This window comes from Homo sapiens, chromosome 5 (assembly GCF_000001405.40).
Source record: "Homo sapiens chromosome 5, GRCh38.p14 Primary Assembly".
Classification (NCBI taxonomy): Eukaryota; Metazoa; Chordata; class Mammalia; order Primates; family Hominidae; genus Homo; species Homo sapiens.
In genome coordinates this window covers 140435519-140463075 of record NC_000005.10, presented here as the reverse complement: position 1 = coordinate 140463075, position 27557 = coordinate 140435519, and the positions used below count along the sequence as shown (strand labels likewise).

General features: G+C 37.8%; 2 protein-coding genes across 5 annotated transcripts in view; both read right to left on the bottom strand.

The window, feature by feature from the left end:
• The window catches only part of ANKHD1-EIF4EBP3 (ANKHD1-EIF4EBP3 readthrough), a 147744-nt gene that overhangs the window by 86501 nt on the left and 33686 nt on the right, over positions 1-27557 (bottom strand). The window contains exons 2-9 of the mRNA NM_020690.6: positions 26819-26972; positions 24459-24615; positions 22810-22957; positions 21934-22081; positions 17101-17334; positions 13771-13865; positions 4214-4451; positions 3721-3912 (exon numbers count right to left, since the gene is read on the bottom strand). Of these exons, the coding sequence (NP_065741.3) occupies positions 3721-3912; positions 4214-4451; positions 13771-13865; positions 17101-17334; positions 21934-22081; positions 22810-22957; positions 24459-24615; positions 26819-26972 (1366 nt within the window). The remainder of the gene's footprint in view (positions 1-3720; positions 3913-4213; positions 4452-13770; positions 13866-17100; positions 17335-21933; positions 22082-22809; positions 22958-24458; positions 24616-26818; positions 26973-27557) is intronic.
• The window catches only part of ANKHD1 (ankyrin repeat and KH domain containing 1), a 138017-nt gene that overhangs the window by 76774 nt on the left and 33686 nt on the right, over positions 1-27557 (bottom strand). For 3 of the 4 annotated variants that reach the window (NM_017747.3, NM_024668.4, NM_001197030.2), the window contains exons 2-9: positions 26819-26972; positions 24459-24615; positions 22810-22957; positions 21934-22081; positions 17101-17334; positions 13771-13865; positions 4214-4451; positions 3721-3912 (exon numbers count right to left, since the gene is read on the bottom strand). In NM_017747.3, the coding sequence (NP_060217.1) occupies positions 3721-3912; positions 4214-4451; positions 13771-13865; positions 17101-17334; positions 21934-22081; positions 22810-22957; positions 24459-24615; positions 26819-26972 (1366 nt within the window). The remainder of the gene's footprint in view (positions 1-3720; positions 3913-4213; positions 4452-13770; positions 13866-17100; positions 17335-21933; positions 22082-22809; positions 22958-24458; positions 24616-26818; positions 26973-27557) is intronic. The other variant, NM_017978.3, reaches the window with a different exon arrangement.

Here is a 27557-nt window from a genome sequence, read left to right as displayed (position 1 = left end):
AGACTTTGAGATCAGCCTAAGCAACAAGCAAGACCCCACCTCTACAAAAAATAAAAAAAAAAATTAGCGGGGCATAGTGGTGTATGCCTGTAGTCCCAGCTACTTGGAAGGCTGAGGCAAGAGGATCCCTTGAGCCCAGGAGTTCAAAGTTGCAGTGAGCCACAATCACACCACTACATTCCAGCCAGGGTAACAGAGTGAGACCCTGTCTCAAAACAAAACCAAACAAAAAAACACTTCACTGATCACCTTTGAAGGATGCTAAGGGACTACCTCATCACTTTGGAAACTGGCAGATAAAGGGGGAAAAAAAGACAAACATTTTTCTTGCCATTCTTTTTTTTTTTTTTTGAGATGGAGTCTCGCTCTGTCACCCAGGCTGGAGTGCAGTGGCACCATCTCGGCTCACTGCAAGCTCTGCCTCTCGGGTTCACGCCATTCTCCTGCCTCAGCCTCCTGAGTAGCCGGGACTATAGGCGTCCACCACCACGCCTGGCTAATTTTTTGTATTTTTTAGTAGAGATGGGGTTTCACGGTGTTAGCCAGGATGGTCTTGATCTCCTGACCTTGTGATCCGCCCACCTCGGCATCCCAAAGTGCTGGGATTACAGCCACCACGCCTGGCCTTTCTTGCCATTTTTATATGATGATTTGTATTTAATTTACAGGCAAATAGTTGAGGGAAAGTTTCTCTTTATAGATAGTCAAGGAAGGAATAAACAAAGAAGGAATAAAAGAACTTAGAGTATCACCCCTTTGTAACCCCTAAGGAATTAATGGATCTAAGCAATGCTCATCAATGGCTAATAATATCACAAAAAGAGAGACAACTATATACTTATTACCTCCTGAAGAAAGTATACAAATACCACCTATGAAGTATCCCATTAAAAAACAAAAAAAAAAGAATCAAACCTGAATACAATAAAGTCTCTAGATCTAACTACTAATTTATAGAAAATCCAAAGGATAGAAAAACAAGTTAAACAAAATCATAGCAATATCATCAGGAAAATCCATACTCTGGGAAGCCTAATGGAAAAACATTCTATTTCTTCAACCAAAAATTGCAAGAAGAAAGATAAGAAAAATGAGATGTAGCCCATAGATTAAAAAAGGCTTAAGAGACATTGATTAATAGTGATTTTATGAATCTTATTTCAATCTTAATTCAAAAAAGTCACTAAACACATACATACAGATTTATAAAACTATCAGAGAAATACAAAAATGGCTTGGATATTTGCTAAGAAACTCATTAAAATTTTTTAGGTAGGAAAATTGTATTGTGGTTATTTTTAAAATTATCTTTTAAATACTGAATATTAACACTTTTATAAAAGTAACATTTTTAATCATTAATTTTCAAATTTTAAAAATAAAAAGTTAAAAATGTTTCTTTTAAATAAAAATAATTTTGTAAGAATGGGGATGTGGAAGAAGTACAGATGAAATAAGATTGGCCATGAATTAGACATTCATGTTAAAACACTAACTAGGTGATGGATTCTTAGGATCTCAAATACTACATTCTCTGTATGTTTGAAAAAATGCCATAACAAAAAGGTTGTTAAATTTGTTTTAATTGTATAGGCCTTATTTGAGTTTTCTTTAGTGCCACACTGTAAGAAGCACTTCATGTAAATAAATTACCCTTAAAACTGGGTGGAAAAAAAACTTTTAGGTAGTGATCACATAAAAGTGATTCTCAAACCCTGAGATAGTTTCTACGAGCTACATACTTCAAATAAGCAAAAGGAGCTAAATCAATGGTAATGCAGTAGAAAAAACAATGTCGAGTTCTAAGTTTGAATGTTGACTCTGTCCCTATTAGCTTGGTTACCTTCGACGGAGTTATATAACATCATTGTGCATTAGTTCCCTCATCTACAAGAATGTGTTTAATATTTCTCACTACATAGGAACCAGTGGCAATTAATAGAGATAACACAAAAGCTGAGCAAAATGTCTGATATTCAATAATTTCTTAATAAACATTTATTCCTTCTTTTAAAAACACGTTACAATAGCACGACTTTAGCTTAAGAGAGGGATGTGGGAAGAATGTACAAAGATAACCACTAGCAGAGAAAGACTCTTGAATAGGACACAGTTACTAAAAATGATAGGGGAAAAATGACTGAATATATACAATAACTAGAATGATTATCAGTATTTGTTCAGGAAAAAAGTCAGCATTTATGGTTGGTTTGTCCAAACCATAAATCATCCAAACCATTCACAATCTGGTTTAAGGCCGGGTGTGGTAGTTCACATCTGTAATCCCAGCACTTTGAGAGGCCGGGGCAGAAGGATTGCTTGAGCCCAGGAGTTTGAGACCAGCCTCAGGAACGTGGCAAAATCCCATCTCTACAAAAAATACAAAAATTAGCCAGGCATAGTGGTATGCGCCTATAGTCCCAGCTACCTGGGAGGCTGAGGCTGAAGGATCACTTGAGCCCAGGAGGTTGAGGTTGCAGTGGAACATATTCACACCACTACACTCCAGCCTGAATGACAAAGCACGACCCTATCTCAAAAAATAGAATAAAATAAAATCTGGTTTAACAAATTATTTCAATAATAATTCAAAGGAAAAACTGAGGTTGGGCTATATTAAAATTAATGTTAACAATGAAAGCCCAAAAGGATGAATAAAATTTTGCTAAATATTTTATTTTCTTTTACATATTAACTTTTCTATATATCAAATTTTAAATAATATATCAGACGTGGTAAAAAAGAAAAATCTGACATTATTTTCAAAGAATATATTTACATCTGTTGGGACTAATTTTTTTTTTAGTATGTTCTATAAAACTACAAATATTCTATGTAAAAGTACTTATTGCTTACCACAGCTTAATAATAAAGCACAAATATTTTTAAAATTAGTACTCTGTAAAAATAAATTAATTCCCACTTTTTTCAGATGACTTAGAAATGTCAAGAAATGAACAGACTTAAAGGTACCAAATTATAACCTCTCAATAATGTCATCATCCCCACCTCCTCTTATTAACAGAGACTAGTAGAAACTAACATCTCCCTTCCACAAGCCACAAACAATTAGACGGAGAAAGAAGGTGAACGAGATACCTTATGGTCACTACACAAACATTAATAACAGTAAGAAATCTTTTTAAAAATCAGTTTTAGAGACTTAGGAGTCTAAGATCAGTTAAATTATGCAGCTGTCTTTCAACTTTTATAGAAATGAAAAAGTTAACAGTTAATTGTTAAAGTTAAGAAAGCAATATAAGTCTTTTTCTAAACAGTATTTTTAATTATTTAATTTAATTTTATTTTTAATTGACAAATAATAATTGTATATATTTATGGGGTACAATGTGATGTTATGATATATGTATATGTTGTGGAATGATTAGATCAAGCTAATTAACATATTTATCACCTCACATATTTGTGGTGAGAACATTTAAATCTACTCTTAGCAATTTTGAGATATACATTATTGTTAACTGTAGTCACCTTGCTATGCAATATATCATTAAAACTTATTCCACCTATCTAAGTGAAACTTTGTACCCTTTGATCAACATTTCCCCTCTCCTTGTGTACTCTCCTCCCACCCTCATGCCCACACTCTGGTAACCACCATTCTATTATCTACTAGGAGCTCAACGTTTTTAGATTCCACATATAAACTATTATTTGTATTTGTCTTTCTGAGCAATAAGGCATCTTAAAGCCACATACCAGAAGCCAGCAAATATTTAACCAATTCCAGGTGTCCCTCCTGAGATGCCTCCATCAGAGGTGTGGAGCAGCCAAGTTCTATATCAGCCCCTGCCTTAATAAGAAAGTCTGCAACTTCAGAAAATCCTCCACAGCAAGCCAAAGTAAGAGCAGTTTCTTGAGTTTCTTCTGTCTGGGCATTTATATTTGCTCCTAGGAAAGTATAAAAACAGATAAAATTAGTTGCAAGAGACTTATAATAAAGATATTAATTTTCTGAATTGTGATAATCATCTCTGTCTTCTCTGCTTCTGTGGTTTCCTCCAGGGTAATTTATCATCAATGCAATATATATATATATATATATATATATATATATGCATATATATATATATGCATATATATATATATATATATATATATATATATATGCTAGCTGTAGTAAACTTCACCAGTACTAACACAAAACATCCAAAGAAAACTGATTTTTCTAAAAGAAGTAAAACTGCTTTACCTTGTGCTAAGAGTAGTGCCACCATTTCTTCATGTCCTTCCCGGGCAGCTTCCATCAAGGGAGTGTATCCTTCATCATTAACTTCTTCAAGATTTGCTCCCCTTTCAATAAGTAGAGCTGCCAATTCAACATGTCCTCCACAGGCAGCTAGCGTCAATGGAGATTCAAATGAATCTGCAGGCATGTTCACTTGAGCACCACTATCCAAAAGCAAACGTGCCACCTCTACATGTCCATCCTGCAGATTTTCAGAAGTAAAGAAAGAAGGAGAGAAATTTTTTGTTTTGAGATTTTTTTAAGTGGGAGAGAAGAAAGCAAGAGATTGGAAAAAGGAAGAAAAAAGACAAGATTAGAAGATTCAGCATAGACAGCATATATATTATCATGCTCATCTGAGCCTTATCAAAAGTTCATCAATATTGCTTTTAAGTAATTTTCAAATTATTTTAACCAACTTTTGAGCAAGCCCAAAATTCTCCAAAAGAATGAGACTTGGTGACATAACAGTCACAAATCCAAATAATTTTAAATTTCCATTTTTTGAAGTTCAAAAAACTGTGAAATCTATAGTCAATGCTACCTCAAAATAACAAGATTATACTACTGCCAGGTCAAATACAGTCATACCCTCAAACTCAGGAGTCATATTCAAATGTAGAAACCGTATTACATCTATTTCAGAAACAAAGGCATGGCAAAAAATAACACAACAAATTATGTGAAGTCGTTACCACTTGGGATTATGTCACCAACATAAATGTCTCTGGATTGACACCATCCTATATTTTTCCTAATCACAACACCTTGTTGCAATGAGGCAAAGATTTTGTAATGATGTAAAAATAAAGACATTCATTGTAAAAAATTTTTACCATGGCCTATCTGCATAGACAGTAAGTCAATTAACAATAAAATATTCTCATGGTGGGTATCAATTCTACCTATCACCATAAATATCCTTCTTTAATTTCAAATTTTTAATGTCAAAATTTATGTAGGTCTTTTTTTTTTTATACTTTAAGTTCTAGGGTACATGTGCACAACATGCAGGTTTGTTACATACGTATACGTGTGCCATGTTGGTGTGCTGCATCCGTTAACTCCTCATTTACATTGGGTATATCTCCTAATGCTTTCCCTCCCCGCTCCCCCGACCCCACAACAGGCCCTGGTGTGTGATGTTCCCCTTCCTGTGTCCAAGTGTTCTCATTGTTCAATTCCCACCTATGAGTGAGAACATGCGCTGTCTGGTTTTTTGTTCTTGTGATAGTTTGCTGAGAATGATGGTTTCCAGCTTCATCCATGTCCCTACAAAGGACATGAACTCATCCTTTTTTATGGCTGCATAGTATTCCATGGTGTATATGTGCCACATTTTCTTAATCCAGTCTATCATTGATGGACATTTGGCTTGGTTCCAAGTCTTTGCTATTGTGAATAGTGCCGCAATAAACATATGTGTGCATCTGTCTTTATAGCAGCATGATTTATAATCCTTTGGGTATATACCCAGTAATGGGATTGCTGGGTCAAATGGTATTTCTAGTTCTAGATCCTTGAGGAATCGCCACACTGTCTACCACAATGGTTGAACTAGTCAACAGTACCACCAACAGTGTAAAAGTGTTCCTATTTCTCCACATCCTCTCCAGCACCTGTTGTTTCCTGACTTTTTAATGATCGCCATTCTAACTGGTGTGAGATGGTATCTCATTGTGGTTTTGATTTGCATTTCTCTGATGGCCAGTGATGAGGAGCATTTTTTCATGTGTCTGTTGGCTGCATAAATGTCTTCTTTTGAGAAGTGTCTGTTCATATCCTTTGTCCACTTTTTGATGGGGTTGTTTTTTTCTTGTAAATTTGTTTGAGTTCATTGTAGATTCTGGATATTCGCCCTTTGTCAGATAAGTAGATTGAAAAAATTTTCTCCCATTCTGTAGGTTGCCTGTTCCCTCTGATGGTAGTTTCTTTTGCTGTGCAGAAGCTCTTTAGTTTACTTAGATCCCATTTGTCAATTTTGGCTTTTGTTGCCATTGCTTTTGGTGTTTTAGACATGAAGTCCTTGCCCAAGCCTATGTCCTGAATGGTATTGCCTAGGTTTTCTTCTAGGGTTTTTATGGTTTTAGGTCTAACATTTAAGTCTTTAATCCATCTTGAATTTTCTATAAAGTGTAAGGAAGGGATCCAGTTTTAGTTTTCTACATATGGCTAGCCAGTTTTCCCAGCACCATGTATTAAATAGGGAATCCTTTCCCCATTTCTTGCTTTTCTCAGATTTGTCAAAAGATCAGATGGTTGTAGATGCATGGTATTATTTCTGAGGGCTCTGTTCTGTTCCATTGGTCTATATCTCTGTTTTGGTACAAGTACCATGCTGTTTTGGTTACTGTAGCCTTGTAGTATAGTTTGAAGTCAGGTAGCGTGATGTCTCCAGCTTTGTTCTTTTGGCTTAGGATTGTCTTGGCAATGTGGGCTCTTTTTTGGTTCCATATGAACTTTAAAGTAGTTTTTTCCAATTCTGTGAAGGAAGTCATTGGTAGCTTGATGGGGATGGCATTGAATCTATAAATTACTTTGGGCAGTATGGCCATTTTCACGATATTGAATCTCCCTATCCATGAGCATGGAATGTTCTTCCATTTGTTTGTATCCTCTTTTATTTCCTTGAGCAGTGGTTTGTAGTTCTCCTTGAAGAGGTCCTTTACATCCCTTGTAAGTTGGATTCCTAGGTATTTTATTCTCTTTGAAGCAATTGTGAATGGGAGTTCACTCATGATTTGGCTCTCTGTCTGTTATTGGTGTATAAGAATGCTTGTGATTTTTGCACATTGATTTTGTATCCTGAGACTTTGCTGAAGTTGCTTTTCAGTTTAAGGAGATTTTTGGCTGAGACGATGGGGTTTTCTAAATATACAATCATGTGATCTGCAAACAGGGACAATTTGACTTCCTCTTTTCCTAATTGAATACCCTTTATTTCTTTCTCCTCCTGATTGCCCTGGCCAGAACTTCCAACACTATGTTGAATAGGAGTGGTGAGAGACGGCATGCCTGTCTTGTGCCACTTTTCAAAGGGAATGCTTCCAGTTTTTGCCCATTCAGTATGATATTGGCTGTGGGGTTGTCATAGATAGCTCTTATTATTTTGAGATATGTCCCATCAATACCTAATTTATTGAGAGTTTTTAGCATGAAGGGTTGTTGAATTTTGTCAAAGGACTTTTCTGCATCTATTGAGATAATCATGTGGTTTTTGTCTTTGGTTCTGTTTATATGCTGGATTACGTTTATTGATTTGCATATGTTGAACCAGCCTTGCATCCCAGGGATGAAGCCCACTTGATCATGGTGGATAAGCTTTTTGATGTGCTGCTGGATTTGGTTTGCCAGTATTTTATTGAGGATTTTTGCATTGATGTTCATCAGGGATATTGGTCTAAAATTCTCTTTTTTTGTTGTGTCTCTGCCAGGCTTTGGTATTAGGATGATGCTGGCCTCATAAAATGAGTTAGGGAGGATTCCCTCTTTTTCTATTGATTGGAATAGTTTCAAAAGGGATGGTACCAACTCCTCCTTGTACCTCTGGTAGAATTCAGCAGTGAATCCATCTGGTCCTGGACTTTTTTTGGTTGGTAGGCTATTAATTATTGCCTCAATTTCAGAGCCTGTTCTTGGTCTATTCAGGGATTCAACTTCTTCCTGGTTTAGTCTTGGAAGAGTGTATGTGTCCAGGAATTTATCAATTTCTTCTAGATTTCCTAGTTTATTTGCATAGAGGTGTTTATAATATTATCTGATGGTAGTTTGTATTTCTGTGGGATCGGTGGTGATATCCCCTTTATCATTTTTTATTGCGTCTATTTGATTCTTCTCTCTTCTTCTTTATTAGTCTTGCTAGAAGTCTACCAACTTTGTTGATCTTTTCAAAAAACCAGCTCCTGGATTCATTGATTTTTTTTGAAGGGTTTTTTTGTGTCTCTATCTCCTTTAGTTCTGCTCTGATCTTAGTTATTTCTTGCCTTCTGCTAGCTTTTGAATGTGTTTGCTCTTACTTCTCTAGTTCTTTTAATTGTGATGTTAGGGTGTCAATTTTAGATCTTTCCTGTTTTCTCTTGTGGACATTTAGTGCTATAAATTTCCTTCTACACACTGCTTTAAATGTGTCCCAGAGATTCTGGTATGTTGTGTCTTTGTTCTTGTTGGTTTCAAAGAACATCTTTATTTCTGCCTTCATTTCGTTATGTGCCCAGTAGTCATTCAGGAGCAGGTTGTTCAGTTTCCATGTAGTTGAGCGGTTTTGAGTGAGTTTCTTAATCCTGAATTCTAGTTTGATTGCATTGTGGTCTGAGAGACAGTTTGTTATAATCTCTGTTCTTTTACATTTGCTGAGGAGTGCTTTACTTCCAACTATGTGGTCAATTTTGGAATAAGTGTGATGTGGTGCTGAGAAGAATGTATATTCTGTTGATTTGGGGTGGAGAGTTCTGTAGATGCCTATTCGGTCTGCTTGGTGCAGAGCTGAGTTCAATTCCTGGATATCCCTTGTTAACTTTCTGTCTTGTTGATCTGTCTAATGTTGACAGTGGGGTGTTAAAGTCTCCCATTATTATTGTGTGGGAGTCTAAGTCTCTTTGTAGGTCTCTAAGGACTTGCTTTATGAATCTGGGTGCTCCTGTATTGGGTGCATATATATTTAAGATAGTTAGCTCTTCTTGTTGAATTGATCCCTTTACCATTATGTAATGGCCTTGTCTCTTTTGATCTTTGTTGGTTTAAAGTCTGTTTTTATCAGAGACTAGGATTGCAACCCCTGCCTTTTTCTGTTTTCCATTTGCTTGGTAGGTCTTACTCCATCCCTTTATTTTGAACCTATGTGTGTCTCTGCACGTGAGATGTGTCTCCTGAATACAGCACACTGATGGGTCTTGACTCTTTATCCAATTTGCCAGTCTGTGTCTTTTAATTGGAGCATTTAGCCCATTTACATTTAAGGTTAATATTGTTATGTGTGAATTTGATCCTGTCATTTTGACGTTAGCTGGTTATTTTGCTTGTTAGTTGATGCAGTTTCTTCCTAGCCTTGATGGTCTTTACAATTTGGCATGATTTTGCAGTGGCTGGTACCAGTTGTTCCTTTCCATGTTTAGTGCTTCCTTCAGGAGCTCTTTTAGGGCAGGCCTGGTGGTGACAAAATCTCTCAGCATTTGCTTGTCTGTAAAGGATTTTATTTCCCCTTCACTTATGAAGCTTAGTTTGGCTGGATATGAAATTCTGGGTTGAAAATTCTTTTCTTTAAGAATGTTGAATATTGGGCCCCATTCTCTTCTGGCTTGTAGAGTTTCTGCCAAGAGATCCGCTGTTAGTCTGATGGGTTTCCCTTTGTGGGTAACCCGACCTCTCTCACTGGCTGCCCTTAACATTTTTTCCTTCATTTCAACGTTGGTGAATCTGACAATTATGTGTCCTGGAGCTGCTCTTCTCAAGGAGTATCTTTGTGGCATTCTCTGTATTTCCTGAATTTGAATGTTGGCCTGCCTTGCTAGGTTGGGGAGGTTCTCCTGGATAACATCCTGCAGAGTGTATTCCAACTTGGTTCCATTCTCCCCGTCACTTTCAGGTACACCAATCAGACGTAGATTTGGTCTTTTCACATAGTCCCATATTTCTTGGAGGCTTTGCTCATTTCTTTTTACCCTTTTTTCTCCAAACTTCTCGCTTCATTTCATTCATTTGATCTTCAATCACTGATACCCTTTCTTCCAGTTGATCGAATCGGCTACTGAGGCTTGTGCATTCATCACATAGTTCTTGTGCCATGGTCTTCAGCTCCATCAGGTCATTTAAGGACTTCTCTACACTGGTTATTCTAGTTAGCCATTTGTCTAATCTTTTTTCAAGGTTTTTAGCTTCTTTGTGTTGGGTTCGAACTTCCTCCTTTAGCTCAGAGAAGTTTGATTGTCTGAAGCCTTCTTCTCTCAATTCGTTAAAGTCATTCTCCATCCAGCTTTGTTCCGTTGCTGGTGAGGAGCTGCGTTCCTTTGGAGGGGGAGAGTTGCTCTGATTTTTAGAATTTTCAGTTTTTCTCCTCTGTTTTTTCCCCATCTTTGTGGTTTTATCTACCTTTGGTCTTTGATGATGGTGACGTACAGATGGGGTTTTGGTGTGGATGTCCTTTCTGTTTGTTAGTTTTCCTTCTAACAGTCAGGACCCTCAGCTGCAGGTCTGCTGGAGTTTTCTGGAGGTCCACTCTAGACCGTTTGCCTGGGTATCAGCAGCGGAGGCAGCAGAACAGTGAATATTGCTGAATAGCAAATGTTCCTGCCTGATCGTTCCTCTGGAAGCTTCGTCTCAGAGGGATACCCGGCCGTGTGAGGTGTCAGTCTGCCCCTACTGGGTGGTACCTCCCAGTTAGGCTACTCAGGGGTCAGGGACCCACATGAGGAGGCAGTCTGTCCATTCTCAGATCTCAAACTCCGTGCTTGGAGAACAACTACTCTCTTCAAAGCTGTCAGACAGGGACATTTAAGTCTGCAGAGGTTTCTGCTGCCTTTTGTTCAGCTATGCCCTGCCCCCAGAGGTGGAGTCTACAGAGACAGGTAGGCCTCCTTGAGCAGCAGTGGGCTCCACCCAGTTTGAGCTTCCTAGCCGCTTTGTTTACCTACTTAAGCCTCAGCAATGGTGGGTGCCCCTCCCCCAGCCTGGCTGCCGCCTTGCAGTTTGATCTCAGACTGCTGTGTTAGCAATGAGGGAGGCTCCGTGGGTGTGGGACCCTTTGAGCCACGCGCGGGATATAATCTCCTGGTGTGCCGTATGCTCAGTTGGAAATGCAGAAATCACCCGTCTCATGCGTCGCTCATGCTGGGAGCTGTAGACTGGAGCTGTTCCTATTTGGCCATCTTGGAAACTGCTCTTTATGTAGGTCTTAATGCTTGTTGTGACACATAAGGTCAGAGGCTATATTGTACTGTATTTCAAAAATGACCATAATGTTGCAAATGAAAAATAAATACTGAGTAGAAAAATAAGGTTTAGTAGTTATTTAATTAAAGAAATAAGGCTGGGCACAGTGGCTCACAGCTGTAACCCCAGCACTTTGGGAAGTTGAGGCAGACAGATAGCTTGAGCCCAGATGTTTGAGACCACCCTGGGGAAAGGGTGAAACCATGTTCCTACAAAAAATACAAAAATTAGCCAAGCATAGTGGTGTGCGCCTGTAGTCCCAGCTACTTGGGAGGCTGAGGGCAGAGGGACTGCTTCAGCATAGGAGGCAGAGGTTGCAGTGAGCCAAGATCACGCCACTGCACCCAGCCTGAATGATAGAGACCCTGTCTCAAAAACAAAAAAGAATTAAATAAAGAAACCTTAGTTGTTAAATTTCAATACCCATCAAGACTTTTATTATACTTAACTGACTAGCCCAGCCTTAATCACTTTTGATATATGCCAAAAACAGATGACTTCACATTAAAATTTCAGTTTTACTAATACTTCAAATACATGTAAAATAAAATATTTTAACCAAATTACTGTACTGAGTCATCTGGTAGTTGAAATGCATTTCTAATTGAAAAGAAAATAAGGATTTATAAATGTCAACAGATCAAGGAACTGCTATTGTGCCTATCTCCTCTAGGCTCTCAATACATTGTTTTACTTGAATTTACTTGAATTTTTGAAGTTTTTTGTTTTGTTTTGTTTTGTTTTGTTTTTTGAGACAGAGTCTCACTCTGTCACCCAGGCTGGAGTGCAGTGGTGTGATCTCAGCTCACTGCAACCTCCACCTCCCAGGTTCAAGTGATTCTTGTGTCTTAGCCTCCCAAGTAGCTGGGATTACAGGTGCACACTACCACGCCTGGCTAATTTTTGTATTTTAGTAGAGATGGGGTTTCACCATGTTGGCCAGGCTGGTCTTGAAGTCCTGGCCTCAAGTGATCCACCCGCCTCAGCCTCTCAAAGTGCTAGGATTACAGGCATGAGCCACCACGCCCAGCCAAATTCTTGAATATTTTTTTGATAGATTCTGCTAACATATCTTGCATACATATATTAAGAGGGGAATTCCAACAAAATAATAATAATAAATAAATAAATAAATAAATCTTTTCTTAAAGCCTAGGCAACATAGTGAGATGCTGTCTCTACAAAAAATTTAAAAGTTAGCTAGGCATGGTAACGTGCCCCTCTAGTCTCAGGTACTCAGGAAGCTGAGGCGAGAGGACTGCTTGAGTACAGGAGGTACAGGCTGTAATGAGCCATGACAGTGCCACTGCACTCTACCCTGGGCAACAGAGTGAGAGTCTGTCTTCAAAATAAAGAGAGAGAGAGAGAGAGACCAATAGAAAAACCACCCAATCAACCCATAGAATCATATGATATATGAGATAGTATAAGATACAGGTGGGAGGCTTGGGAAGCTGAGGCACGAGAATCACTTGAACCTACTTGGGAGGCTGATGCACGAGAATCACTTGAACCTGGGAGGTAGGCTGCAGTGAGCTAAGATCACACCACTGCACTCCAGCCTGGGCAACAGAGCAAGACTCTGTCTCAAAAAAAAAAAAAAAATAGATAGAGGTAATATGTGGCTGCTACATTAAGCCATTATGTTTTGAGTGATTCGCTAAACAGCAATAGTCAACAAAATACAAATTAACATGTGTAATGATGAGCTTATTTAATCACATCTGAAAAAATGCGTTTGCACTTCCAGGTAATTTTCTTGCCATTAAATCTGTCTTAAATACTTATCAGAATGCTTTGAGTTTCTTTGTATTTGCACTCTCTTTTAGATATGCATATACGCATGATATATATGTGCTTACAGAAGTAGAAAAAGGATTTCTGGATTGACAGCATTAAAGGTGATTATTCTCTGTGACACAGAGAATTGTATATTAAAAGTATGATTCTACATTATCCTTTAAAAAAACAGTTAAATGTTTTATAGGCTATCCATACAGTTTGAGTCAATATATTTTGAGGTCAATTTGCTATTTAAGATTTTAATATGAAACTGTAAAAACACTAGAACTATGTCTACTATCTCCAGAATTAGAGTTTTATCAATAATATCCCTAAGGCCAAATACTTTGACTGTTCTATTCCAAAAGCAGATGCATTCAAGCATCAACTTTGTTTAATTTAGCATTAAGAAATTATATAAACCCAACACCAATTAATAACTCTTTTTTTTTTTTTTTTGAGACCGAGTCTCGCTCTATCGCCCAGGCTGGAGTGCAGTTGCGCAATCTCTGCTCACTGCAACCTCCATCTCCCGGGTTCAAGCGATTCTCCTGCCTCAGCCTCCCGAGTAGCTGGGACTACAGGCACCCGCCCCATACCCAGCTAATTTTTGTAGTTTTAGTAGAGACAGGGTTTCACCATACTGGCCAGGCTGGTCTCGAACTCCTGACCATGTGATCCGCCCGACTTGGCCTCTCAAAGTGCTGGGATTACAGGCGTGAGCCACCGCACTGGCAATTAATCACTCTTAAAGGCTTAAACACATACGACCTTTTCTTCCCATAAAATCTCAAGTGAGTGTAATTTAAAATTACCATGCAGGCCTCCATTAAGGCAGTGTGCATCTCATCTGTTTTGTGCTCTTGATCTGCACCAGCTTCAAGTAGAAAGCGAACCATATCCAAATGGCCTTGAAAAAAGGAACAAAAATTTTAAAAGAATTCACTATCAGTTTAATATTTAAATATTGAGGTATGGAATCTTTTTCTTCAGATGTCTATACAAGAATTTGATAACTTATTTTGCATTCAATAAATAAATCAGTAACAGTTTTACAAAGCCCATTCAAAGCAATATACAGGCTTTTTTCAAGGTCTTATTATCTAGGCTTTAAAGACTGAATTAGTCCAAGGCACATAATTCAAGTTAAGTAAAGCAATAATGCTTTTACCTTGGTTGAAAATACATAAATTATTTATCTAATCAAAACACTGAGATCAAATAGAAAGCCAAGTAAAGTATCTTGGCATCATATATTCCAGAAAAACAGCTTTAAAATAACCATAAACCCACTGTGGCAATAAGCAGGCACAGAAAACTCCATTTAAAATAATTCCAATCCTCTTGATACAGTGAATATATAAAAAGCCTTGATAGTCAATAAGAAAATGACAAACACTCCAGAAGAATGGGTGACAGATATGAAATGATAATTCAACAAAGAAATGCAAGTGAATATTAAACTGATGAAAACAATATTAAACCTTCCTATTAAAGAAATGCAAATTAAAACAAGACACCATGTTTTTACTATCAAAAATAGCAAATATTAAAAAGAATGATAAAACCCAGTATTGGTGAGGGTGTAGGGTGGGGCAAAGGGCACTCTCAAACATTGTTGGTGGGAGTATAAATTGGTTGAACCTTTCTAGAAGGCAATTTGGCAATATGTAGCAAAACCCTTAAAAATGTCCATACCCTTTGACCCAGCAATTCCACTTCCAGGAATTTATCCTAAGGAAATAATCAGAGGTTATGCAAAAATGTCTGCACAAGGATGTGATCAGTGTTTTTAATAATAGTGAAAACCTGGGAAGAATTTAAGTGTCCAACAATAGGCAATTATGGTACATCTATTTGATGTATTTGGCAGAGACTGCTAGTTCCCTATCTAATATCCACTCTCTTATTCTTTCTCACTTTAAGAGACGAGGTCTCTGTTGGCCAGGCTATAGTCCAGTGGCATGATCATAGCTCACTGCAGCCTCAAACTCCAAGGCTCAAGGGATCCGTCCACCTCAGCTGCCCGAGTAGCTAGGACTGATCTAGGCCTCAAGAGATCCTCCTGCCTCAGCCTCCCAAAATGCTGGGATTATAGGTGTGAGTTACTGCACCCAGCATTCTTTAATTCCTTTTTAATAATAGAACTCCAGTTTCATCTGGGCAGCAACATACCTGACTAGAAGACTATGTTTCTCTGCCCCTCTTGCAGTTATGTGTAGCCAATGAGATGTAAGTGGTAGTTATAAGGCCGCACACCTAGGAAGACTCTTTAAAGGGAGCTTACTAAATTGAGAGGCACTCCTTATATTGCCCTTAACGTCTTTCCTAGAATGTGAACTGCTGGGGTCCTAGCTATCATCTTGGTTTTAGGTTTATTGTAACCTTGTGGATACAAACCACATACTAGGATAGCAGAGCAGAAAAATAGAATTATGAGCTCTTGATGACAATGGAACTGCCATACTAGCCCTAAACGGCTTACCTTTGAATTTCTCTCTTGCTCAAATCGTTAATTTAGATTTTGTGACATATGCAACCAATTTTAATCCTAAATGAAATAGTGAAATAGTATATAATCATCAAAAGTTACATTGTAAGAATATTTATTGAGGCCAGGCATGGTGGCTTACACCTGTAATCCTAACACTTTGGGAGTCTGAAGTAGGAAGATCACTTGAGGCCTGGAGGTTGAGAGCCACCTGGGCAACATAGTGAGACCCCCATCTCTACAAAAAAATAAAAATAAAATTAGCTGGGTATGGTGGTGTGAGTCTGTAATCCTAGCTATTCAGGAGGCTGAGGCAGGAGGATAGCTTGAACCCAGGAGTTTGAGGCTGCAGTGAGCTATGACAGTGCCACTGCACTCCGTCCTGGGTGATAGAGCAAAACCCTGTCTCTAAAAATAATAAAAAATAGGCCAGGCACGGTGGTTCATGCCTGTAACCCCAGCACTTTAGGAGGCCAAGGCAGGTGGATCATTTGAGGTCAGGAGACCAGACTGACTAATATGATGAAACCCTGTCTCTACTAAAAATACAAAAATTAGCCAGACATGTGGCATGCACCTGTAATACCAGCTACTAGGGAGGCTGAGACAGGAGAATCACTTGAACCCGGGAGGCGGAAGTTGCAGTGAGCCAAGATCACACCATTGCACTCCAGCCTGGGCAACAAGAGTGAAACTCCGTCTCAAAAAAACAATGATAATAAATGAAAAATAAAAAATAAAGAATATTTATTGAGATGAAAAATGTCCATGATACACTGCTAAGTAAAATAAGTAGATTATAAAACTGTTAGAGTATAACTATTTTGTTTAAAATATATATATGTTTGTATATAAACATACTTAAAAACAAACTGGAAATGTATACACTAAAATATTGTATACATGCTTTTTTATCTTTAGATGGTAGCATTACATGTCATTTTAAAATTTCTTTTCTTTAGCTGGGTGTGCTGGCTCACGCCTGTAATCCCAGCACTTTGGGAGGCTTGGGAGGCTGAGGCAGGAGGATCACTTGAGGTCAGGAGTTCAAGACCAGCCTGGCCAACATAGTGAAACCCTATCTCTACTAAAAATACAAAAATTAGCCAGGCATGGTGGTGCATGCCTGTAGTCCCAGCTACTTGGGAGGCTGAGGTACGAGAATCACTTGAGCCCAGGAGGCAGAGGTTGCAGTGGGCTGAGTTCGCGCCACTGCACTCCAGCCTGGGTGACAGAGCGACATTCTGTCTCAAAAACAAAAAATTTCTTTTCTTTGTGTTACTCTGTGTTTTTCAGGTTTTCAGTATTGTGTGTATTATTACTTTGGCATGTACTATTTTTTAAATAAACATTGGAAAAATCATATAAAACAAAAGTTATTAAATAATGGAAACCCTCTAAATCTAAGCTAAGTAGTTGGGTTAACTTCACAGTTAACCCAATAAATCTGAATTAAAATAATAAACATATACTAGAAAACTATATTACAGGCAATATAGACTAAAATAGACTTTCTATATAATTTCTTATAAACTAGATAATTTTATAGCACAGGGAAAACATAAGCAATATAAAGTAAACTCAAATACTCAATACTCAAATAATCAAAGTGGTTACGAAAAACATTATAAATATTCATACATGTATTAAGTACCTTTGTAGCAAGCAAGTGTTAGAGCACTTTCTTTGAATTCATTAGAATGAGTGTTGATGCCTGCACCATGATCTAAAAGAACTCTTGCAACTTCCACATGACCTGCACTGGCTGCTTCCATTAAGGGAGTATGTCCATTTTCATTATGATCTTCTATATTTGCACCTTCATTAAGGAGCACTTTAACAATGTCAACAAATCCTCCAGCACATGCATAAGTTAGCGCAGTGTTTCCTAAAAAGAAGAAGAAGAAATATAATACATGAGCAGAATATATATTTAAAAAATAAAAATAAATAAAAGATTTAAAAAGAAATATACAATCATGACAGAACAGATACAATTATGATTATGCTAATGCTCTAGGTATACCTCTTCAATTCCCTTACACAAATCACTACAACTATTATCTCAACTTTTTTTCGTTATCATTGGTTAGAAGCATCACCTTAATTTTCTTTTCTTTTTCTTTGAGACAGAGTGTCATTCTGTTGCCCAGGCTGGAGTGCAATGGCACGATCTTGGCTCACTACCACCTCCGCTTCCCAGCTTTAAGTGATCCTCCTGCCTCGGCCTCCTGAGTAGCTGGGATTACAGGTGCCCACCACCATGCCCCACTAATTTTGTATTTTTAGGAGAGACAGGGTTTCACCATGTTGGCAGGCTGGTCTCAAACTCCTGACGTCAGGTAATCCACCCGCCTCGGCCTCCCAAAGTGCTGGGATTACAGGCGTAATCTGACAATTATGCCAATTATACCAATTATGCCAATTATACCACGCCCGGCCAATTTTCCTACTAATTAAGAGATTTTCTGGCCAGGTGCGATGGCTCACACCTGTAATCCCAGCACTTTGGGAGGCCAAGGTGGGAGGATTGCTTGAACCCAGGGAGTTTGAGACCAAGGAGTTTGAGACCAGCCTGAACAACACAGTATCTCTACTAAAAAAAAACTGAGCCAGGAATGGTGGCATACCCCTGTAGTCCCTGCTCCTCTAGAGGCAAGAGGTGGGAGGATCACTTCAGCCCAATACAAAAGACTTTCTGGAAAGCCCAATACAAAAGACTATATGTTATAAAGATCTGAACAATATAAAAAGGCCAGAAAAGCAAATCTATAGAGACAGAAAGTAGAGTAACAGTTGTCTGAATAACTGAGGGGACTCCAAATGGGCATAGAGATCTTTCTGTGGTGATGGGAATATTCTACAATTAGATTGTACAACTCTATAAATTTACTAAAAATCATTATTGTATACTTAAATCAAGTGAATTTTATGGTATATGAATTATATCTCAATAAAACTGGGATTTTTTGTTTGTTTTTTTAAAAAGCAGCAGCAGCTACATTTGGACTGGGCCTCAAAAGTTAAGTAGGATTCCTAAAGGCAGAAAAGGACATCTGGCATCAAACAAAATGCATTAAGTAAAGGCAGGTGACCACATCCCCTCACAGAGCTGCAATACAGAGCTATGGTTTATGATCCCTGGTCTCTCCTGAGACTGACTGCTTTGGAGTACAGAAGGAAGACTTCTAGGAACCTGTATTTTTAACAAGCTCTCTTAAGTGATTCTGACATGCAGGCAGTAGGTGCAACTTACTGAACAAAATGAACGAATTAATTAAAATACGAACTTGACTAGAAATTATTGGTGAGAAGATGATGCAATTTCCTTCTGGAAATCTCTATTTTCCCAATGAAGTATGAGTTAAGGAAATCAGTGGAAGCGAGGAGGGGTATCTGTGGGGTTTGAGAAGAATGTCTGAAATGGCCACATGGAGAGTGTACGGAGGAGCCCATCAAAGAGCATGTGCTTACTGCATGGTATATAATAATCCCTTCCTTCTACATAGTGTATCTATTTCAGCTAAAAAAAAAAAAAAGGGGGGGGGGGACTTCATCTCAACCAAGCCCTTTTCTCTCTCAAAATGTTCACCTACTTTTTAAAAATAAAGGTACTGAGAACAACATGGTGGTTTTCAAACTGTCTTCCAAAGAACTTTAGAATCCCCGCTTCCAAGAAGTTCCTCAGCACAGAAGAAGATGGGGAGACCTAGGTTCCAGAAATTAAAGCCCCCAACTATCTCTACTTTAGATCAACTCCTCTTTTATCTGTGTAATATTATATCTGTGCTTCCATATACTGTTTGGCTTAAAGTTAGAGTTATTTGACAGAAAACAACCTTAAAAACCACTGAATTTGATGATCACCAAGAATCCTCAAGGGGAAATTTAAAACTTCCTTGTTGGCAGTACCCTCTTTTTTGAGTATTTTTCTTTTTTTTTTTTTTTTATAGACGGAGTCTCGCTCTGTCGCCCAGGCGACACGATCTCGGCTCACTGCAAGCTCCGCCTCCTGGGTTCATGCCATTCTCCTGCCTCAGCCTCCCGAGTAGCTGGGACTACAGGCGCCTGCCACCATGCCTAGCTAATTTTTTTGCATTTTTAGTAGAGACGGGGTTTCACCGTGTTAGCCAGGATAGTCTCGATCTCCTGACCTCGTGATCCTCCCACCTCAGCCTCCCAAAGTGCTGGGATTACAGGCGTGAGCCACCACGCCCGGCCTTTTTTTTGGGTATTTTTCAAAGGAGTGTGTATATAGCATAATGCTGTTAACCAGAACAAAGCAATTGATTTTATCATCTTAATTTAACAACTTTTGCTATAGTTCACAACCAATTAATGCCCTCTGCCCCTAAAATTTGTGGTATATCAATTCAAGGAAATATTACACAACCTTTAAAAAAGTTTGTTAAGAAGTTAATAAAATAGGCCTGGAGCGATGGCTCACGCCTATAATCCCAGCACTTTGGGAGGCCGAGGTGGGTGGATCACAAGGTCGAGATCGAGACCATCCTGGCTAACACGGTGAAACCCCGTCTCTACTAAAAATACAAAAAATTAGCCAGGCGTGGTGGCGGGCACCTGTAGTCCCAGCTACTAGGGAGGCTGAGGCAGGAGAATGGCGTGAACCTGGAAGGCAGAGCTTGCAGTGAGCTGAGATCGCACCACTGCACTCCAGTCTGGGCAACAGTGCGAGACTCCATCTCAAAAAAAAAACAAAAAAAAAGTTAATAAAATAGAAAATAAGTGAAGTCAAACAAAATTGCACATAGGGTATAATTTCAACTACATAATTTTATACATCAAAAATACTGGAAGGAACTAAACTAACACAGTAATAGCAGTGATTTCTGTGCCACAGAGTTTATGGGAGAGTAATCTTTTATTCTTCCTACTTCTCAGCATTTCTGAAATGTTCTTACAATGAGCATATATTATTTTCATAATCAGATAAAAAATTAAGTAAATCAATCTGGTGGTTCACCAACACACTCTAACATTAACTGTCTTCTTTTATGTAAATATAAGAGATATTTTCTGTATTTAATTAATACAGGGAGCCACTTTCAAGGGTTCCAACTATAGTATGCACAAAGCTGCTCAGTTCAAATAAATGACGGGCGAGGGATTTAGGCTGCACACTCCTATGAGACAACTGACTATCTGAGGTGAAACAGTTTCATCCCGAAAACATCCCCTCCTCCCTCCCCCACGTGTGGAAAAATTGTCTTCCAATTGTCTCTGGTGTCAAAAAGGTTGGGGACTGTTGCTATACAAGAATATCTCAGCCAGGCTTGGTGGCTCACATCTGTAATCCCAGCACTTTGGGAGGCTGAGGCGGGCAGATCACATGAGATCAGGAGTTCAAGACCAGCCTGGCCAACATGGTGAAACCCCCGTCTCTACTAAAAAAGTACAAAAAATTAGCCGGGAGTGGTGGTACTCGCCTGTAATCCCAGCTACTTGGGAAACTGAGGCAAGAGAATCTCTTGAACCTGGGAGGTGGAGGTTGCAGTGAGCCAAGATCGTGCCACTGCACTCCAGCCTGGGTGACAGAGTGAGACTCCATCTCAAAAAAAAAAAAAAAAAAAAAAAAGAATATCTTATTAGTAAATGTATTCAGCAAACTCAACATGTAAAACCCTATAGGGTAAACACTCAGGTTTATCTATAATCTAAAGAGTATTGTATTGAAGATAAAGAATTATAAGAAATACAGTTTATAATTTTGCCTCCATATATATTACATACATAAGGTATATGACATGTTGTTATAAGATACATATATAGTAAAATGGTTACTATAGAACAAATTAACATATTTTTCTCATATAGTTACCCAATTTTGCCCCCTGTGGCAAGAGCAGCATAATCTACTCATTTAGCAAAAAATCCTGAATATAATACACTATTATTAATTATAGTCCTCATGTTATACATCAAGCTTTTTGACTTGTTCATTCTACATATTTGCTACTTTGTATCCTTTTACCTACTTCTCCGATTTCTTCTCCCCACCCCTGACCCGGTAACCAATGTCTTATCTCTATATATTTAACGCTTTTTGTAAATTTTCAATATTCAGTGAGATCATGCATACCTATGTCCATAAGACTGTGGGGGAAAAAAAAAAGTGAGATCATGCAATACTTTCCTTTCTGTGTCTGGCTTATTCCACTTAGCATAATGTCCTTCAGGTCCATCCATGTTGTGGCAAATGGCAGGATCTCCTCCTTTTTTAAGTCTGAATAATATTCCATTATGTTCATACCACAAAAACTCAGTCTTGACTACAGGAGACTCTAAGTGTGTTTTAAAGACTTTTGAGGATGTCAAATTAATTTGTATTTTACTCAAAGATTCTACACAAGGGCTAAGATTTTTCTGTAGGTTTATACTGGTTTTCCTCAGAAATCTAATTTTTCTCTCTCTCAGGTAATAATTATGTCAATTTTTTCTCCCAATTAATACATCATTTTCTACATACCTGTTGCAGACTGGGAGTTGACATCAGCATCATGAAGAAGTAATAATTTCACAATATCTAAGTAACCTCCACTGGAAGCTGCCATCAGGGGAGTTATGTCTCCTTTATTCCCTCGATCTTCAACATTAGCATGCATAGCAAGCAATACCTTTAAAACACATATACAGACAGAGAAATTGTTAATTCTTACTATTCAATAGTATTTCTAGAGAATATACTGAATCTCTGAAGATATTCTTCTAGAATAGGGGTGGGAAAAAATCAATAATGACCTTTTGAAAAAATTATGCCAATACTCACTGCTTAACATGCCAGGTTACATATTTTACAATATCATTACATATTAATATTTAAATAAAGTATGCAATCATATTAGCCATCCTATTATAAAATGTGATGGCTCTTGTCAAAGAATGTTATGCTTGAGGTTATCTAGCCAAAGAACAGCAAAACTATACTCACAAGACAGAAACTGGTAAAAACATGGTTAATTCCCAGTACTGTTCTAACATAGAAGGAAAAAAATTAAAAGAATTGGGGTAACCTGAATGTGATGAAAATAATGACTACTTTCCATTATAGCTGTATATTATTTCAAAGGACAAATTTAAAATTATTATTATATCTATTTGTTTCTTATTCATTAGGATTAGCTTTGAGTAAGTGGCAGAAAAATGGATCATTCTCAGTTACATGTACCGGCAACAAAATAAACTGTGTTATCTGTTTCTACTTTACCCACTACCAAAAAGGGAAGGAGGATGGGGGAAGAGAAGACTCTGGCCTCTAATTATAATCTATCTTATAAGTGACAAAAATAAATAAAACATCAAAACCCTTCCACAATTTTAATCACTAAAGATTATTTCTGCTTACTTGTGCTAATTCATAATACCCTGCTGAACAAGCCAAACACAGCAGGCTTTCTCCTTCTTCTGTATGTTCATTTACACTTCTGCCTTCATCTAGCAATTTACGAACAGCATTAACATCCCCATCTGAACAAGCTTCTGCTAGACTGCGACTGGAAACAAAACCATTCAACAATTAACCGAAACAAAAAGACTCGGGGGTCCTATGATAAATTATATTAAATATAAATAGTCACACAAAGAAAAATGTTAATGCAGTAAAAGAAAAAATTATATGAACATATTACTTGCTGAGCATTTTGTCTGCAACTTCAATTATTCATGTTTATCAACCAAGCCAGAAAGCCAGTGAGTGAATTTGAAACCAGCTGTCATTTTTATCTTTTAAAATCTCCTAACATATTACAACAAATTTTAAATAAAGTTTTTTAAAGCATTAGACCAAGCATGTCCAACCCACGGCCCAGGACAGCTTTGAAAGCAACCCAACACAAATTTTTGTAAACTTTCTTAAAACATTATGAAATTTTTTTGCAATTTTTTTTTTTCTTTTCGCTCATCAGCTATCATTAGTGTTTGTATTTTGTTTTGTTTTGGTTTTGAGACAGAGTCTCACTCTGTTGCCCAGGCTGGAATGCAGTGGCACAATCTTGGCTCACTGCAACCTCCACCTCCCAGGTTCAAGTGATTCTTGTGTCTTAGCCTCTCAAGTAGCTGGGATTACAGATGTGTGCCACCACAGCTGGCTAATTTTTGTATTTTTAGGAGAGATGCGTTTTCACCATGTTGTCCAGGCTGGTCTTGAACTCCTGGCCTGAAGTGATCCACCTACCTTGGCCTCCCAAAGTGCTTGGTTACAAACATGAGCCACCATGCCTGGCCTCTAGTGTTTGTATTTTATGTGTGGCCCAAGACAATTCTTCTTCTTCCAATGTAGACCAGGGAACCCAAAATTTGGACACCCCTGTATTAGATGCACAAGTTTTTAAACTCTACTTGTATAATGATTCCCAAAGATATTTTGGGATATAATCCTATGGCTGAAATTTTTACTTAGTAACAGTGAAGGCGAAAACCTAAGAAAACTATTTTACCACAGAATGACTAACTAGACCACCGAGTCTCAAACTTTAATGTGTACGAGTTACTCGTATTTCTTGTTAAAATGCAGATTCTGATTCAGTAGATATGGAGTAGGGCCCGGGATTCTGCATTTCTCACAAGCTCTGAGGTGATGCTGATACTGCCAGTCCATGGACCATATTTGAGTAGCAAGCAACTACACTACTGCATTAGTAACTCGTTTCATGTATTAGTACTCAAGCACTCGGTTTAGAGTTTACTATAATAACTTTTAGAATAAGTAACTTCCTTATAACTGGAAAACAGATCTTATTCAGTTTGGATTTCTCAGAGACTCTAGTGTAATACATTCCACAAGAATGCTCAACGAATAAGAGCTGAATGAAGAAACAAAAATATCCATTTGTATAGCTACATAATACATATACATTTATATATCCACTTAAAATGTAATATCCTTTCAGCTAAAGTTTATAAGCTCCACCAAAAGATATATTTAACCAAAATTGGCTACTTCCCCAAAATCTATTCAAGAAAATGTCTAATATCCAAAAGTCATTAAACACATACGTGTCCACTTGTCCTGCATTGTGGCTGTTTTCTGCTTTCATCCGTGTCAGTGCAGCAGCAGCTTCATCCAGTGCACAACTAACTGAGGATGTCAGTCTCCGGAGTACCTCAGGATCTGCAAAAGCTTTACCATCAGCAGTTGACAATTTGCCAATTCCTTCAGTGTGCATCAATCAATCAGGTAGTGCAGAACAACAAAAAAAAAAGTATAAAAGTGCAAATTGTAATTATATTTCTAAACACTATTATCTAGGAAAAAGAAATGGTATAGAATCCATAGGTTAGGTTGACAGAAGATAAGGCTTATCAATTCAATTCTGCCACTAATGTCAAAAGGCCATGGCATAACCACCTATGTTTTAGTCTTTCTACCTTTACAATGCACATAATATTAATTTGTCCTCTACCTAATCCACATGTAACTTCATATGAGGCTGTCTATCAAATAAATGAGATTTCTTTCAAAATACATAGTCACACCATAAGATCTCTAGTACAGGATATCTGTCTTTACTATTTTCAGTAGTATCTTCAGAGGGGAGACAGTCTGTAATACTGTAACAAACAATTCAATTGTTTCTTCCTTTGGTCACAACCATCTTCTGGGGCAACATTTTAAATTAAATTCATTCTTACAAATAAAATTAAAATTAAAAAATTATATACACAATACCCAATGAATTTATATCGTCATTTATAAAGAGCTACCACACAATCTACTAATGATATAACATGAATGCAAACTAAAATGGTGAGGTATTTTTCATTTATGAAATTGACAAAACAATGTCTGAGGTGTGAGGCCCTCTCAAAAATTGTTGATTTTTGAGTGAATAAAGAAATAAATACAGGCACAAACTTGAGGGACTAATTTAATAATAGTTGTCAAAATTTTATTTTACTTATTTTTTTGAGACGGAGTCTTGCTCTGTCACCCAGACTGAAGTGCAGTGGCACAATCCCAACTCACTGCAACCTCCGCCTTCTGGGTTCAAGCGATTCTCCTGCCTCAGCCTCTCGAGTAGCTGGGATTACAGGGGTGCGCCGCCACGCCCAGTTAATTTTTGTATTTTTTTTAGTAAAGACGAGGTTTCACCATGTGGGCCAGGCTGGTCTCGAAGTCCTGACCTCAAGTGATCCACCTGCCTCGGCCTCCCGAAGTGCTGGGATTACAGGCATGAGCCATGGCGCCCAGCCAGTTGCTAAAATTTTAAATGCAAATGTATTCTTACCCATTGATAATACTTTCTAAAAATCTGTCCTAAAGAGATACTTGCACAAGTAAGAAAAGTTACAGATATATAAGGCTATAAACTATAACATTATTTGTGATACTGAAAAACTGGATATAAGCTAAAATTGGAAAAATTAATTATGGTTCATCCAAGCAACAGAATATTATGGTACCCTTCAATAAAAGGAGAAAGATCAACATAAACTGTCATGGAAGGATACCCACAATAAATTATATGGGGAAAAAAATTGTATTTTGTGTATTATTCCTACTTCATTTATAACAATCATGTATGTTCAAACATATACATGTATTTATATTATCATAAGGGGAAAAGTCTAGAAGTATATGTAAACCTTGACAGAAAACGGGAAGGTTTTGTTATCTACTTAATATATTTCACATTGCTTTAGCTATTTTATAATATGCATTACATATAAAAAAATTAGCTATTTAAAATCAAGTTAAACATAGATTAAAGTGAATACACAAGTAATCAACATGCAGCTCCCTAAATCAGTACAGATAAAGAAGTCATAAACTGATTAACTAAATTTATCTCCCACATTTTTATTTTATAATGGCTAACAGGTAAGTTTTCCTTGATAACTAGCTGATTATCTTTTTTTTTTTTTTTTCAGACGGAGTCTCGCTCTGTTGCCCAGGATGGAGTGCTATGGCATGATCTCGGCTCACTGAAACCTCCCCCTCTAGGGTTCAAGCAATTCTCCTGCCTCAGCTGCCTGAGTAGCTGGGACTACAGGCGCACACCGCCATACCTGGCTAATTTTTTTCTATTTTAGTAGAGACAGGGTTTCATCATGTTGCCCAGGTTGGTCTTGAACTCCGAGCTCAGGCAATCCGCCTGCCTCAGCCTCCCAAAGTGCTGGGATTACAGGCGTGAGCCACTGCGCCTGGACGCTCATTATCTTAATACCTTAAAAATATATGAGTTGAGCCCAGAAATACAAAATGTGAACATTTTCTTTGGGAGATAAAAAGTAAAATAAATTTTAGAGATTTTAAATTTTGTATAATGTTATAGAATTTGGGGATAATCTCATGTAACTGTAAAGAGATCTAGACTTTTAAAGATATGAAAAAGATAAAACAAAAAATAAAGTACCTGCTGCTTCTAGCAATGCTTCTAGTCGTGCCTGTGTCTCTGGATCCACAGTGCGTAAGTCTGCTCCTTCTGCAGTACTTGATAAGAATATCTCTGATGTTGTTTTAAGCACTGGGTTATCCAGATCTTCTTGGTCCAAAATAAATGATTCAACCTGTTAATGAAATAAAGATGCAATATCCATGAAACTGATATCAATATGATTAGAATAACTACAATTTAAGGTAATATGACTTCTTAATTAGAACTTAAATATAAGCAGAAAAATTATTATAGAAACAAGGGAGTATGGGAATGGACTTTGAAGGACATTGTGACTGTTTACCTTCAGACATGACTACAGGTATAACACACATACACTGAAGTTTCCTCAAGAGCATTGTATATTCTGTGACTAATACAGAGCATGAAAAGCAATATTAAGGCCAGTCACAGTGGCCCACGCCTGTGATCCTAGCAGTTTGGGAGGGCCAGACAGGCAGATCGCTTGAGCTCAGGAGTTTGACACCAGCCTGGGCAACAAGGTGAAACCCCATATCTATTAAAAAAAAAAATTAATACTGAAAAAAGAAAAGCAGGGGCTGGGCGCAGTGGCTCACACCTGTAATCCTAGCACTTTGGAAGGCTGAGGCAGGGGGATTACCTGGGGTCAAGAGTTTGAGACCATCCTGGCCAACATGGTGAAACCTCATCTCTACTAAAAATATAAAAATTAGCCGGGCGTGGTGAGGTGGTGCCT